We start from the raw sequence: 14,273 nt of genomic DNA, 5'->3' as shown, positions 1-14,273 counted from the left end.
TTTTTCACCTACTCTAGAAGATGCAAGAAACCAAAGCAAGGAAGAAGCATTTTCACCATGCTGTAGAAAACACAGGCTTGGCAAAATCCCAATCTATATTCCTGGATCAAAAATCTGAAAATATTTTGTATTTTGCAACATTTCCAAATGTCCTTCCAACACTAAATCTTAAAAATGCCAATTAAATTAAGGAGCAATGCTTTCCTCACTCAAGCTTGTCTCTGAATACCAGATGCAAAAGATCTGTCACAGAAATAGTCAACAAACAAATCCTATTTCTTTTTTTTTTTTAAGTTCTGGGATACATGCACAGAATGTGCAGGTTTGTTACACAGGTATACATGTGCCATAATGGAACAAACCCTATTTCTTCTTTTTTTTTTTTTTTGAGATGGAGTTTCGCTCATTGCCCAGGCTGGAGTGCTGTGGTGCGATCTCGGCTCACTATAACCTCCACCACCCAGGTTCAAGCAATTCTCCTACCTCAGCCTCCCAAGTAGCTGGGATTACAGGCGCGCACCACCACACCCAGCTAATTTTTGTATTTTTAGTAGAAACAGGGTTTCACCATGTTGGTCAGGCTGGTCTCGAACTCCTGACCTCATGATCCGCCCACCATGGCCTCCCAAAGTGCTGAGATTACAGGCATGAGCCACCGCACCCAGCCCAAACCCTATTTCTTTATAGATTCTTTCATTTTATTCTCTTATGTGCTTAGTATAAGTTGGGCCTCCAACTGTATTACCTAATTATTATAACATTGCTAGAAAGGCAACTGAACCACATCCAACTGAAACAACAGAGTTAGTGTAAAGAAAGTCATCTTAACCTGCAGCTCCAAAGGCTTTTGCTCCCAACATTTTACTAGGAAATTCTTCATCACTTAGATTCTGCAAGTAACATTTTGCTTTCCTTGTTTTTTCACATCTCTCTATCTAACCTTCCCACCAGAGCCTCTTTGAAAGCAGAGGCACCCTAGGTAAGCCAGATGATTGGACATGGCATCTACTTTCTGACAAGTATATTATCATAGGAATCAAGCCTAATAAAAGACTATGGAACCCTCTTGTCCACTGTTAGCTAAACGCTGTAAACTTGGTACTGACTTGAAAATGCTTTCATCTCAACTGCTTTTCTTTCCAAGTTCTGAAGATGAACTGTTTGCCTTTCAAGGTACAATTAAAGGGTATGGTTTTCAAACTAGCAAAAATTCTCAGTTTTAAAACTATAGATCAATAGTTTTTTATTCTATATTCTTTTTTTTATATTTGTATATTCTATCTATAGATCAGTGTTTTGGTTGTATTATGTTCTGTAATTTGAAACTCATACTTACTGGTAAAAGCAGAGTCAATAAAGTAAAGACCCAATCTCAGTACCAGAAACATCAAGAACTACGGTTCTCAACTAGACACAATTTTGCAGCCCCCGTCCCAATTTGGCAATATCCAAAAACATTTTTGATACTCATGATTTGAAGCAGAGAAGGAGGAGTTGGTGAACTACTGATATTTAGTGAGTGGAGGCCAGGGATGCTGCTCAGCATCCTGCAATGCACAGCACAGCCCCACAACAGAGAATTATCTGGCCCAAAATGCCAGTAGTGCCTAAGTTGAGAACCCTGATCTATGGTGATGAACAAAGCAGAGGGCTGGGAGAGGTAGGGCGTCCCATTTAGGGAAACTACTTGAGAAGAGAGGAGCCTGTGCACGTTAGCTGGATGCAGCAGTCAACATCCCATAGAAGCAACAATACCACTTCCTTGCCAGGGCTGGGCCAGGGCCTCAAATGATCTGAAGCCTCCAGATCCAGAAACAATCAGAAGGCAGCCGGACCTTCAGACAAACTGGTAGAACTGAAACTACTCAAGAGTCGTACAGTTCACCCTTCCTTGCCTAACCGGGGCAGAAAGAAGATCCAGTAACCATGGAAGAGAATGATCTGGCCAGGGAAAAAAAATATCTTGCTCATCTCAATGTCCCCAGTGCCTAACATAGCACCTGGCACATATCAGACATTCAGTGAATGTTACGTAAATAGAATGAACTTGTTCTAGACACCTCTGTTGCCTGCCCTTATATGGCCTTGCGGCATGTCACTTCAACTCTTTAGTTCTGTTTCCCTACATGTAAAATGTGGATGGATTATTGAGGATGTGATAGTATGAGGCATGTGACCCCGCTTTGTGAACTCTAAAGCAATACACAAATGCAAATGATGAAAGATTAGAAAGCTACTTCTAGGGTACCAAGTCTGTGTCTAAATATTATTTTAGAGGTTAATAGTACTAATTTCCTCACTGACAACCTTCTCATTAGAACAGCACTCTAAATTTTATAAGATGCAAACCTATCTTCATTTTAAATGGAAAAACAAAATGTGGCCTATGAAATCTATTATTTTTCCTGTACTGGGATTCATCCAAAAGAGAGGAGGCACTACTCTCAGCCAAGATCTACAAGTGCCTCAGGAAGGGGTTTGATACTTGAACTGAGTTTATTCAGAAAATTATTAATACAGAAGGCTATTATTAATGATACCAAAAATATCACTCACTGAGTTCTACTGCAGGCCAGGTAATATACTAAGCACTTTATATTAATTATTATGCTGCTTCTACCCCCAAACTCCACAAGGTGAATACATCAACCTCATGTTACAAATGGAAAGGGGCTTAGAGAAAGTATGCAAGTTACCCAAGATCACACAGCAAGTAAGCATCAGAGCCAGGGTAGTGTATGCCTAAAGCCCATGCGTTCACTGAAGGGCCACTACAACACAGATGGTGCAGATACTCATCTCATTTACTAAAGTCAATCCTATGTTTCTCTATGCAGAAGATACCTTTGAATTTCAGGACTGTTCATTCTCCTGAAGATGCAAACAGATTAATTGAGCTAGGGAAGAAGTGTTCCTTTGCTTTTAGCTACTTAAAACTTTCAGGCACAGCTGAAACTGTAGCTGTGCCTTGACTACTATCCCTTATCAGCAAATAATATATCATATATGCTGAACCCTAAGAAAACTAATTATAAACTCACTTTGGAAAGAAGCTCTCCTCCTTAATGCTGTATCTTGAATTTAAGTAACACTCATTTTCAGCATACTGACATAAAATACACCAAAATATACTCTCAGGGACCCATACCTCACTTGCCCTTATGGTTCCTGAATGATCTTCCTTTGAAATCAAAGTAAAAACATCCTCTTAATGAGTTCAGGGGAAATATCAGTCTGAGAATACTATTCCTGACTTTAGCATCATACAAGGCTAGGAAAAAAAAGTTTCAGAAAGCCAGTAGTCATCTGTGGTAATTAACCAGACTCCCAAGATGACTCCCAATTACCCAGCCTCCTATTAATGCACACCCCGGTGTAGTACTTCTCACACTGCACCAGGATGGTCTGTATAACTGATCGCACACGGCAGAAGCAATAGGTTGCCACTTCTGCAATTAGGTTATACGAGACTGTGGCTTTCATCTTGGGCCCTCTTTCTGACTCTCCCCACCCCTCTCAGATCACTTACTCAACGGAAAGCCAACTACCATGTCCTACAGATGCGGATGGGCATGCGGAGAGGCCCATGTGAAAAGGGACTGAGACTCTAAGTCCAATAGCTTTATGAGGAAATGAGCTCTGCCAACAGCCATGTGAGTGAGCTTGGAAGCAAATCCTTCAGCCCTAGTCGAGCCTTGAGAGAACTGAGGTCCCTGCCAACAGTTAGACTATAACCTCGTGAGAAGACTGAACCAGAACCATCCAGCTAAGTCACTCTCAGATTCCAAGCGATAAAGTATTCATTGTTTAGAGCTCATAAGTTTTTTTTTGTTTATTTTTTTTGAGACGGAGTCTCGCTCTGTCACCCAGGCTGGAGTGCAGTGACGCGATCTCGGCTCACTGCAACCTCTGCCTCCCAGGTTCAGGCAATTCTCCTGTCTCAGCCTCCCAAGTAGCTAGGATTACAGGCCTGTGCTACCACGCCTGGCTAATTTTCATATTTTTAGTAGAAACAAGGTTTCACCACATTGGTCAGGCTGGTCTCAAACTCCTGATCTTAGGTGATCCACCCGCCTAGGCCTCCCAAAGTGCTAGGATTACAGGCATGAGCCACCGCACCCGTCCTAGAGCTAGTAAGTTTTAGGGCAATTTTTTCTGCAGCAACAGATAATACAGAATCTTTATAAACTCTTTGTTGAAATTAATTCCCTTCTTCCTAAACAGTAGCTTCTAGTTTCAACAAAATAAACCCCTCTGAATTCCCAAAATTGCCAGGGGGAGCAGGGGGTGGGAAAAAAGCACAGCACACCCTCTGATCTGAGAGCTTGCTAATTCTTTCATACTCCTAACCACAGAAGACTGTAAAGTGAGAACTGAAAGAGTAACTTATACCTGTTCCAATTATAATAAGGAGGTACAGAATTACTTTATCACCTACAATCAAAAGTTGGTATTAATAAATTACCATCTGGGTTTGTTTCTCCCCATTTAAGAGCTTATTAACCAAGTAGCTTAATAAGAGGTGTTTTTTGCATCTAATTAATAGATATCTTAAAGTTTATGGCTTACATCGTCATTCTAAAAAACTTTTCTTAGTAAATAATAATGCACTTAACAAAAATAAAAGTTGTTTCAGAATTTAGAAAAACGTGGAAAAAAGTCACTCTTAGATCTACTGCCCAAAGGTATTTTTGTTCTATCGTTTTCCAGTTTTTTTCCAGGGTAGAGGTGGCACACTGGTAACCCTTTGTAATCAGACTTCTGAATCTAGTAGTAAACAAGACTGAGGGAGAGGTTATTCAGAGAAATATCTCACATCAGTTCTGAAATTATTCCTATAAGTAATGAGAATATATAATAAAAGAATTTCTTTTTCAGTTTCATTCAGACAGTGCCATGAAAGGCAGCAACCTCCGCAGGTTGACAGGTTCGATACTGTGACTAGTACAATCAGGTATACTTTGCAGAGACAGAATTTTCCTCAGGACTCTGCTATTGAGCTGGGGGCTGTGCCTCAGAGAAGTCCACCCATCCTTTCAAGACTTCCCTTTTCTTAGAGCTAACAGTGATTCATCTTCAGGTAGATGGAACGTCTTCTCACAGTAAATTTTTAAAGAACATGGATTCTGGGGCCTGCATATCTAAGAATGTCTGAGCCACTGCACCCAGTCTTCAACCCCTTTTAAGATTTTTCTTTCCTTAGTCTTGAGCATATGTGAAAAAAAGAAAAACTAAAATAAAATATTTTTTTAAAATCTCCGTCTCAGTAGAAGTCTCTTCTCATTAATTTTCGCTTTTAATCTTAAGACTTAATTTTTCAACTCAAGAACACTTTTTTCTCTTCAGTTGTATCTTCTTCTCCAGCACTTTGGTTTCTTCCCTGGGAATATTTACATACTCACAGACTTGGTCTCTTTGTTTAGAGCTACTAAGTTTTAGGGCGATTTTTTTCTGTAGCAATAGAGAATACAGATGGCCTATTGCCAAGATTTCCTCAAACTACAAGGCTGATAGAACCACACTTGACAATGAAATGGAGGCCCACGTTAGAAGTGCTGAGCCTGCCCTGAAGGTAGATAGCAAGCCCCTGCATCCTTTCTCTACAGTCACCTTGCAGTTCAGAAATGCAAGGCCAGTTTCAGTCAGAAAATCAGGCAGCTACAGGTTGAGGCAGGGTGTGGTTCTATCCTTCTCTTCCCATTGAGCATCATTCAGTTTCTTTTTTCTTTTTTTTTGAGACAGAGTCTCGCTCTGTCGCCCAGGCTCGAGTGCACTCAAGTGCAGTGGTGTGATCTCGGCTCACTGCAAGCTCCGCCTCCCGGGTTCACACCATTCTCCCGCCTCAGCCTCCTGAGTAGCTGGGACTACAGGCGTCCACCACCACGCCAAGGCTAATTTTTTTGTATTTTTAGTAGAGTCGGGGTTTCACCATGTTAGCCAGGATGGTCTCGATCTCCTAACCTTGTGATCCACCTGCCTCGGCCTCCCAAAGTGCCGGGATTACAGGCGTGAGCCACCACGCCCGGCCTGAGTATCTTTCAGTTTCTATTTGGTGGCTCTAACTCCCAGAATACACTTGGATAGGGAAGCTTAGTGTTTTCTGTGTGTATTTGTGTTTGAGGGTAGGAAGCAGTTATAGGGTATTGAGTCCTAGAAAGTATAGTCTTCAAGAACAAAGATTCCAGTTGACATGGGCAGAGAAGTGCATTCTGGAGACAGTACATTCTGGAGACTGCAGTGTTTTCTACACCTTCATTTACGGCACACTCCTGGAATGGGGTCAGAATCAAGCAGTGAGGGTTAGATGATCCTATCTCAGTCCAGCATAGCTGTATGAGATAAAAGCCTCCCAGTAGCACTGGGAGCACTGGGCTAGGGGCTCTGCATATTCTCTTGGCCAGCTGTAGATCTGAGAATGGCAGTTACCTATGTCCACGGGAGTAGAGAAGGGGACCAAGGGTAATCTATGCACCCTTGCTGGCAAATACCAAGAGGCCTTTGAACAAATTCTGCGAAATAAGAGAAAAGGGAATATCATTCTAAAAGTTGAGAGAAAGAATGAATCTTTGAAGATGACTGCCAGTGGGAACCACAAGAATTCAAGTGGGCAGTTGAGGCTACTTACCAGTTAAGACATTACAATGGTGGGAAGTAGACTGTGACTGAAAAGAATCGCAGCATCTCAGTGTTACAAGGGATCTCAGAAGCCTTCAGTTCAACCTTCTCAACTCCACAGCAACTAAGTAAGCGGTCATCAAGCCCATGTTTGAATCCCCCCACCTGATCTAGAAGTTATTACGCATTACATGGTGAAACAATTCACTTCATTTTTACAGAGTCCTAATTTTTAGAATCTTATTTTTTAACCGCAGCAACATTTAACACTCTGTACTCTCTATCCCTGAGTTCTGTCCTGTGGAGCCACACAGAACAATCCCAATATTTCTTTTAAGAGGTAGACTCTTTTACGAGATGGATGTTTCTTTCAAGAGATAGACCTTCAAGTACAATAGTATCATATCGACCTCCCAAGCTGTGTGTTTTAGTTGTCCCTAAGGATACTAGCAGAACTGTGAATATACCCACATAAGCACACTATGCTAGCTATTCGAGAATCTCACATGCAATACTACCAACTGCAACAATGGTAAATATATTCTTGGTCAGCATCCCTACTTACAGAATAGAAAACAGAACACCCCCACCTACCATACATATTCTTTTACACAGCTCCAGGAAACCCTGATTAATGACCTCCACTTGCAAAGGAGGCTACTTACCTTAACCATGAAATAATGAATGCTATTGATCCAACAAGCTACTGCTATAGAGTGTTATTGATCACCCAATCTTTGGTTAAAATGGTCCTCATTTAGCAATTTCACTGTCACAAACACCTGGAGCAAAGCACACTCATAATTAAAGAGTTTGGGGGAGTTAAAGTGAGAGGTGATGGACAGAGATCTCAGCTTTCTCCCACTTATTCTTGCTTCTGAGCTATTGTTTGTATCAGAAGGGATATTGATTTTCTATAAAAATAAGAAAACAAGAGGCACCAAAGGGCCGCAGAAGGTCAGCCTGGGCTGGAGAAGGAGTGGGTAGGTTTAGCACTCTATCTCTGTCACTTGCCTTCCAAGAGAGGAGAATATTTTCTTTCCTGTGAGATCAGCCTCTAATACATCACCTTAGGAAGGCTCCTGAATGTGACCTCTGGCCATCACCCAACCAATTCACTTATGAAAAAAAAAAGAAGCTAAACTATATTCAAGGGGAACAAACAAATGATGTGTTAGTAAAGAATAGAGCAAAATTAGGCTACAGTCACCTAATAGCTAATAGCTATTAATAGTTGCTATACAGACAATTTAAATAAAGATCAGTAGAAAATAATTTTACAGTAGTTGTTCTGCTTTAGAATACTCACAAACACACATACACAGAAAAATATTAAAATAATAGTTTGATCTCTATGCAAGCAGAAAAAAACTACTATACTATAACCATTTTTAGTTCCTCAAAACTTGTGAGGGATTGGCTGGTGTAATATTAAAGGAAGACCAGAAACAGAAAAGCAAACAAATATTGATGAAGTCTATACTCCATGTTTAGGTCGCAAAGAGTGAGTTTAAGGAAATTAGAAATAAGCTGATTGAGACACACATTTTCAAATCTAAAACATCTAATACATGCTTTAGAAAAAAAAAACGCTACCATTGACTAGGCTAAGCTAAGCTTAACAATCAACTTCATCTTAATAATCTTACAATGTGGATCATTACTCTGACAACCCTCAATACCACTGCTAAAAAGTAAAATTCTACATTTTGATCTGTATGTGAATAAACAGTGGCACATCCAAGTAGATTTATGAAAGGGTAACCAAGAAGATTCTTGAAAGTATTTCTTTTAAAAATGCAGGGAAAAAATAAAGTAGAAAATTATTGACAGAATCAACTCATCAAGACAGTATAATATCCAAATCATATACTATTATCTCCTTACACTCTAATGCCAGCCCTTTTTAAAGGTGTGCCTAACAATTAAGGGAGATTTTAGTTCCACTCTCCTCTTGAAGAGAGGCTGAACACAACATTCAGTCAAAGAGTAAGAATCACCCCCTTTCCCCACAGAATGGATTCAGGGGGAAAAAATACAAAGCACTTCTGTTTGTAACTACAAATGAATCGAGACAAGTCAAGGGGAATTTAGAACTCCTAAATAACTAGAAGATTTTAAAGAACTTTCCTCAATGCCGTGTGTGCCACCACTCCGCCCATTATTCCTTCACAGCTACAACCCTTTAGCATCTACATATTGAAAGAACTCTGAAGTGAGGGGCCAGGATAATAGCCCAAATGGGTGAATGAGTTCTCCTCAATTTGAAAAGAGTAAGAATTTCATAAGAATTCCCATCCACTTAAGTTATCCAGACTCTCAGATAACGAGAATTTACATTATTACATCCTGACTAGAATGTGCAATAGATGTGTCTGGAGTAAGAAGGAACAGAAAAGAGTGAAGCATCTCATGCTAGAAAACAGGCTCTGCATCTGGAGCCATACTTGGGCTGTTAGAGCAGACAGAGTTAACAGTCGCTCTCTCACATACAATTATGTCGTAGTTTAACAAGAAATTAAGGGGAAGAAACATACACAAAGCTACTATCCCAAAAGGCTACTTTTAAAATCACCATTCTCAATACTAAGAAGACTTCTATTTGGTATATATGCTCAATATTAAAACAAACTTGAATGTCTCAATAGAGGGTTTCAATAGTGTGAAAGGCTACAAGTTGACTAAGCATTTCTTGTTTGATTAAAAATAGTCTGATGAGGGAAAAATACCTTTATAATCCAAATATATACATATAAATTCTGCAAATAGACCTTAGAAGGAATGAGGCATTAGAGGAAAATTAGGAAAGTCAAATTATGAGCCTATCTCAATATAGTCTGCAGACTGGCAAATATAAAGTTAATAAGAAAAAGTTTAAAAGCTGGATTAAAAACCACTCAAGAAAGGTACAGGTATACAGACCTAAACAGTTTTTCCTGTTACTGACACAGCCTCACCTCAGTGTTCCTAAGATTAATGTCTTTGTTTTTAAGCTAAACTTCAGAAAGGTCATATGTTCTACAGTTGGGAAAGTTAAATTGAGACAGAACAACTCAAAGGGCAGCACAACATGGTGGTTAAGAATGAGCTTTGGAATCAGGCTTGATTCCCAGTTTTGGCACTGGGTGATCTTAGGCAAATTATCTAAGCTCTTATAACCTCAACTTCCCTTCTGTAAATACAAATAGTGGTATCCACCATATAGTGGAATTGTGAACATTAAATAAGAGTATATGCTAAGTCCATAGTACAGTGCCTGGCCCATAGTTGAGTGCTTAATAAATGCCAACTAATATTAACAATAATAGAATACACTGGTTCTCAACTGGGAGTACTCAATCCACCTAGGGATCACCCCTGGAGGCCTTTGGGTTGATACAATGAAAAGGGGGTGTGAATAATGCAGAGATGCTAAATATTCTGCAATGCACCATAAAGAATTGTCCCATCCAAAACACCAATGGCATCCTCACTATTAAGAAAAAGATAACCACAGATTAATATTAATAACATTAAAGTATCAAGCTGGGGGGTATCAATGTTCCTAGGACTATCTGAGATGTAAAAAATAAAAAGTCACCAAAACTACACTTACATTTTTAAACATGTACCCATTAGAGACAAATTTTTCTGGCTTGATCACATCTGATGTAAGACTAATGGGACTCGGTACTGTTATTTTCAAAGCCCACCATGTGTTCAGACAATTTGAATGTCAGCCATAAAAAAATAAATTCAATATAATCAAACCACAAGTAGCAGAAAACAGAATTATAGCCAAAAAGCATCTAAAGCCATGATTCTTAATGAGGACAGGCAACTTAATGGAACATTTATAAACTCCGTATACCTGGCGCTAGCATATTCTCTCTCACACACACACACCAGCCTCTGCTGAGACCTGAGTTCTAAACAACAATATTTATGTATAAACTGTATGGCATAATAAGCAGCAAATTGTTTTTTAAAATAAAATTATTAGTTTTGCATTTGAGGTACGCGTTTTAAACAGTTTTTAGAAACAACTGTGTTTCTATTACATATAGCCTTCCTGACAGAGGGAAATAGACTCATGAATGGTACCTTAAAAAGCTAAACTACTGATTGATTCAAGGAAGGCTTCAAAGTCAATACTAGAGTGGCTGGTTTGAAAGAAGGTAGAACCCACTAAGACCATGGATGTGCACTTTGGGAAAAATTAACCAGGAAAATCTTTGACTTAGTAAGGGAGATCTCACCATTCTGACATGTTCTCATCAGAGCCCTGTTTTTGTTCATCTGTTTCACACTCCATCCTTTCTTTCCTTCCTGTTTTGCTTAGGAAAGTCCTATTTTCTGCTGATTCACACAATCCGTGGCCTGATGAGGTCCAGGGAGTATTCTCCTTCCAGCGGGACAGACGCTGCTTCTTAGCAGACTTGAACCTGCAGCCTCTCTCATAGCTCCAATCTGACACCTTCAGCTTCTGCTGAAGGCTAGCAGCCACCTCTGATGTCACTCGCTTCACCTTCCGCCTGCGCCTGAGTGGTCGACAAGGTGCATTTTCAGTAAAGGAGTCAGATTCATGCCAAGAATGTTGCTTACTCTTGACAATGGCATTGAGAGCTGGGTGTCGTTTGGCTACCATTGTGTCATCAGAGTCACTAAAATTGGTCACCGGAGCCACTTCTCGACAGTCCTTAGTGGCCTCATCCAGACTTGACTCAGAGGCCTCGCTGTAGCAGCAGGTATGCTCTGCCAGGTGAGTGAAGTCAGAACGACGCTTCCGACCTCGGCGTTTCCGAAGCTGCCGCCTCTGCTGTCGGGGGCTCAGCGCCATCTCCTCCCACAGTTCACCAAGCTTATTCTGCTCAGATGTCTGCTCCAAGGCTGAGGCTAAGTCGTGTACCAGCTCATCCATGAGGCCACATCTGCCAAAAGGAAGTTTAGGAAAAAAAGAAAGAAAGAAAAGAAAAAGAAAAAGAAAGCCTGAAAAAGGATCTGTTGTTTTGGAATAATTTGATGAAACAGATCATGGTAGTCCACAGTTCTGCCTGTCTAAACAAAATAAGTCACCTTTCATCTGGCTACACTTAGATTCTGTTCCTACCACTTCCTTAAGTCACTAAAAATAGATGTTTTGTCCCTTGTTAAATGCCTGAAGTCAACATATTCTTAAGCACAAAAACCTACTAACCAGAAGACAACTGGGACAGGACCCAAAACAAATTCGGGGGACTAGATCCTTCTCTCTTTTCCCCAATTAAACTTGTCATTGAATTACCTAATGATGAGATCCAGAAAGATTAGAGACTGTCTCACTAGACAGGAACAGAAAAACATACAACTTCAAAATCACACTAGAGTTGTGGAAACACAGAGTAGCACATGGTCTCATCGAGGTATTGAGAATGAATGAAAAACTGTTCTTTGGCCTGGGGTCACTGCTGACAATGACCATGGCAGAAAGAAACAGAAAGACAACTTAGTGACACCATTTAAGGAAGAATGCAGTTTTCGTGATCCAAGAAATTGTAGTGACCCAGGTTTGAAGTCAGAATGGAGAAGAGACTAAGTTTGCGCCCATTCTGGTACCAACTACCACCTGGAAGCTACCAGGTATAGAACCTTATACAGTATGTCATATATTTTTGAATAATTAACAATTTTTAAGCCCCTCTCCTACCCTCCAGAAAATAAATGTTGGTCCTAGTTATGTGCTTCAGTGCCACACAATCACAGAAAACTAGGATACAATAGCAGCTGAAATGACAGGGATAGGGTGAAGTTTCTAAGATTTCTGGCCAAACTGCTTTCCAAAATTTCTTATTTTTCTGTTCATCCTCAAACCAAACATCACACTTCAGGGGTCACTTCAGAGACAAACATTTCAAGAAATGACAGTAGTAGGAGCAATCTTCAAAATTCCCCCTTAAGGGGAAATATTTAATTTGTACAGCATCTAATTAAATACATATTAAATTTTTAGCACTTTTCTCTTGCCTCTATGCCCAAAGTATTTCAAGATCAGCTTAAAATTCTAAGTGGTGCCACTCTCTGACCATATTCCCATTCATTCAGTTTTCACTTTGCAAAGGGCTTTCTAAAACCTATTTTCATGCTGTGCCTATGCCAATGAACTTAAAGACAGGAAAACAGTCCTCTGGCTTATCTGCCACACCTGTAGGAGCAATAGTGACACCTACTTCCAAAACTACCATACAAACGAAGCTTCTCAAAGTGTCCAAAAGCACATACATTTAAACAAGACCAAGTTCTTTTAAGCATTAAGAAGTGGTTTATCAACACCTGTGAAAAGAAGGGGAAAAAATGGGAAAAAAAAAAGTGGATTAAAATGCCATGATTGAGGTTTGGGAGACAACTGTCCCTAAGACCAAAATAAAGAAACAAGTGGGAACAGCATGTCAAAATCTACTTCCCTAATAAAGAATTACTGCTTTAAAAACTCAGGCAACAAAAATACAAAAAACAAAAACAAAAGAACAAATAAAAACCTCAGGCAGAACAGCACAAACTTGAACATGGAACGAAGTCATCAAACAACTTGCAGTCGAATGCCTGTGCAGAATCCTTTCCTGCCTCAAAGCCTGTAATTCCAACAGTAGTGACAAAAGAACCCTAGAACTCCCCATCTCCAGTCGCGGATGCACACTCTCGAGAGGACCCGGCGGCCAGGCACGCACCCGGGCAGAGATGAGGCTGAGTCACGCACAGGAAGGAACGGGTAGCTGGTGGACAGCAAGTAAGAAGAGAGACAGGAGCAGGGTGGAAGTGAGGGGCGGAGTAGGAGGTGGGAGAGGCAGGAGGCAACTGCTCATTTGGGCTCACGAGGGGCGGGGATCGGCTCTTCTAGGGCAGAAACTGCCAAAATGCAAGTCTTGGCGACTGAGCTCCCTCCGGGATCGGGGGTCGCAACATGGCCACATATATGACAAAAACTGTGTTTCGAAGGACTCTCCACCACGCCCCGGCCCGTCCCTGAGGGCTGGGGCGACCATGGCTCGGGACACCAAGCCCTCAGGCTGCAGCCCGCCCCAGAGAGGCAGAAAGAAGAAAGGGGAAGAGGGGGCTGTGGCCCCGGAGACGGCCCGACCCACATCCCCAGGGATGGGGACAAGGGCCCTGAAAAGCAAGGCCCCACCACCCTCACCCTCCGGCCGTCTGCCGCAGCCCCAAGACGCCCTTAGCCGCTCAGCCGCGGCTTGGCGCTCCGATCCCCTCTGGTACTAGCCCCCAGGACCCCAACACTCTCAACCCATTCCTCCCCCTCACCAGCTGCCGCAGCCACCTCCAACGGCCGCCGCTTTTTGGGCCGACTCTCACCGCCGGGGCTTCCCTCTCTGACCTCATTTCCGGTCTGGGCCGGAGGGGTGGGGCGGTGGCGAGTGGGAGGGGCTGGCTGCACGATTGGGCCCCTGACCCAGTGCTTCCGCCCGTGGCCACACCCACTTCCGCCCCGCGGTGGGCGGAGCCACAGGAAGCCAGGAGATGGGGCAGGGGACAAGGAGGGGTGTTGAATAGGGTCTGGCCGGGAAAGGGCGTCTCAGGGGTTGAGGTGCCCCACGTGGGGAAAGACCCCTGCATGCTGGCCTCATCTTCCTTAGGGGCTTCCAGAAATTGGGCGCTAGGCAGGGATGTCAGCTTATCTCTTGCTTTCT

General features: G+C 41.8%; 1 protein-coding gene across 22 annotated transcripts in view; it reads right to left on the bottom strand.

The window, feature by feature from the left end:
• The window catches only part of GPATCH2L (G-patch domain containing 2 like), an 83,634-nt gene extending 69,677 nt beyond the window's left edge, over positions 1-13,957 (bottom strand). For 12 of the 22 annotated variants that reach the window (XR_007064029.1, XR_007064030.1, XR_001750415.2 and 9 more), the window contains exons 1-3: positions 13,888-13,957; positions 13,110-13,343; positions 10,854-11,525 (exon numbers count right to left, since the gene is read on the bottom strand). Coding sequence is in view for 17 of the 22 variants with exons in the window: in XM_047431559.1 (XP_047287515.1) it covers positions 10,854-11,525; positions 13,110-13,138 (701 nt within the window). In the remaining 5 variants the exon portion in view is untranslated. Of the gene's footprint in view, positions 1-10,853; positions 11,526-13,109; positions 13,344-13,887 lie in introns of those variants that run through there. The other 10 variants (NM_017926.4, NM_001322028.2, NM_001322030.3 and 7 more) reach the window with 2 other exon arrangements.
• Between the last annotated feature and the right edge of the window lie 316 nt (positions 13,958-14,273).

This window comes from Homo sapiens, chromosome 14 (genome assembly GCF_000001405.40).
Source record: "Homo sapiens chromosome 14, GRCh38.p14 Primary Assembly".
In the NCBI taxonomy this organism is placed as follows: Eukaryota; Metazoa; Chordata; class Mammalia; order Primates; family Hominidae; genus Homo; species Homo sapiens.
The sequence above is the reverse complement of the archived record's forward strand: the minus strand, read 5'-3'. Positions and strand labels throughout refer to the sequence as shown.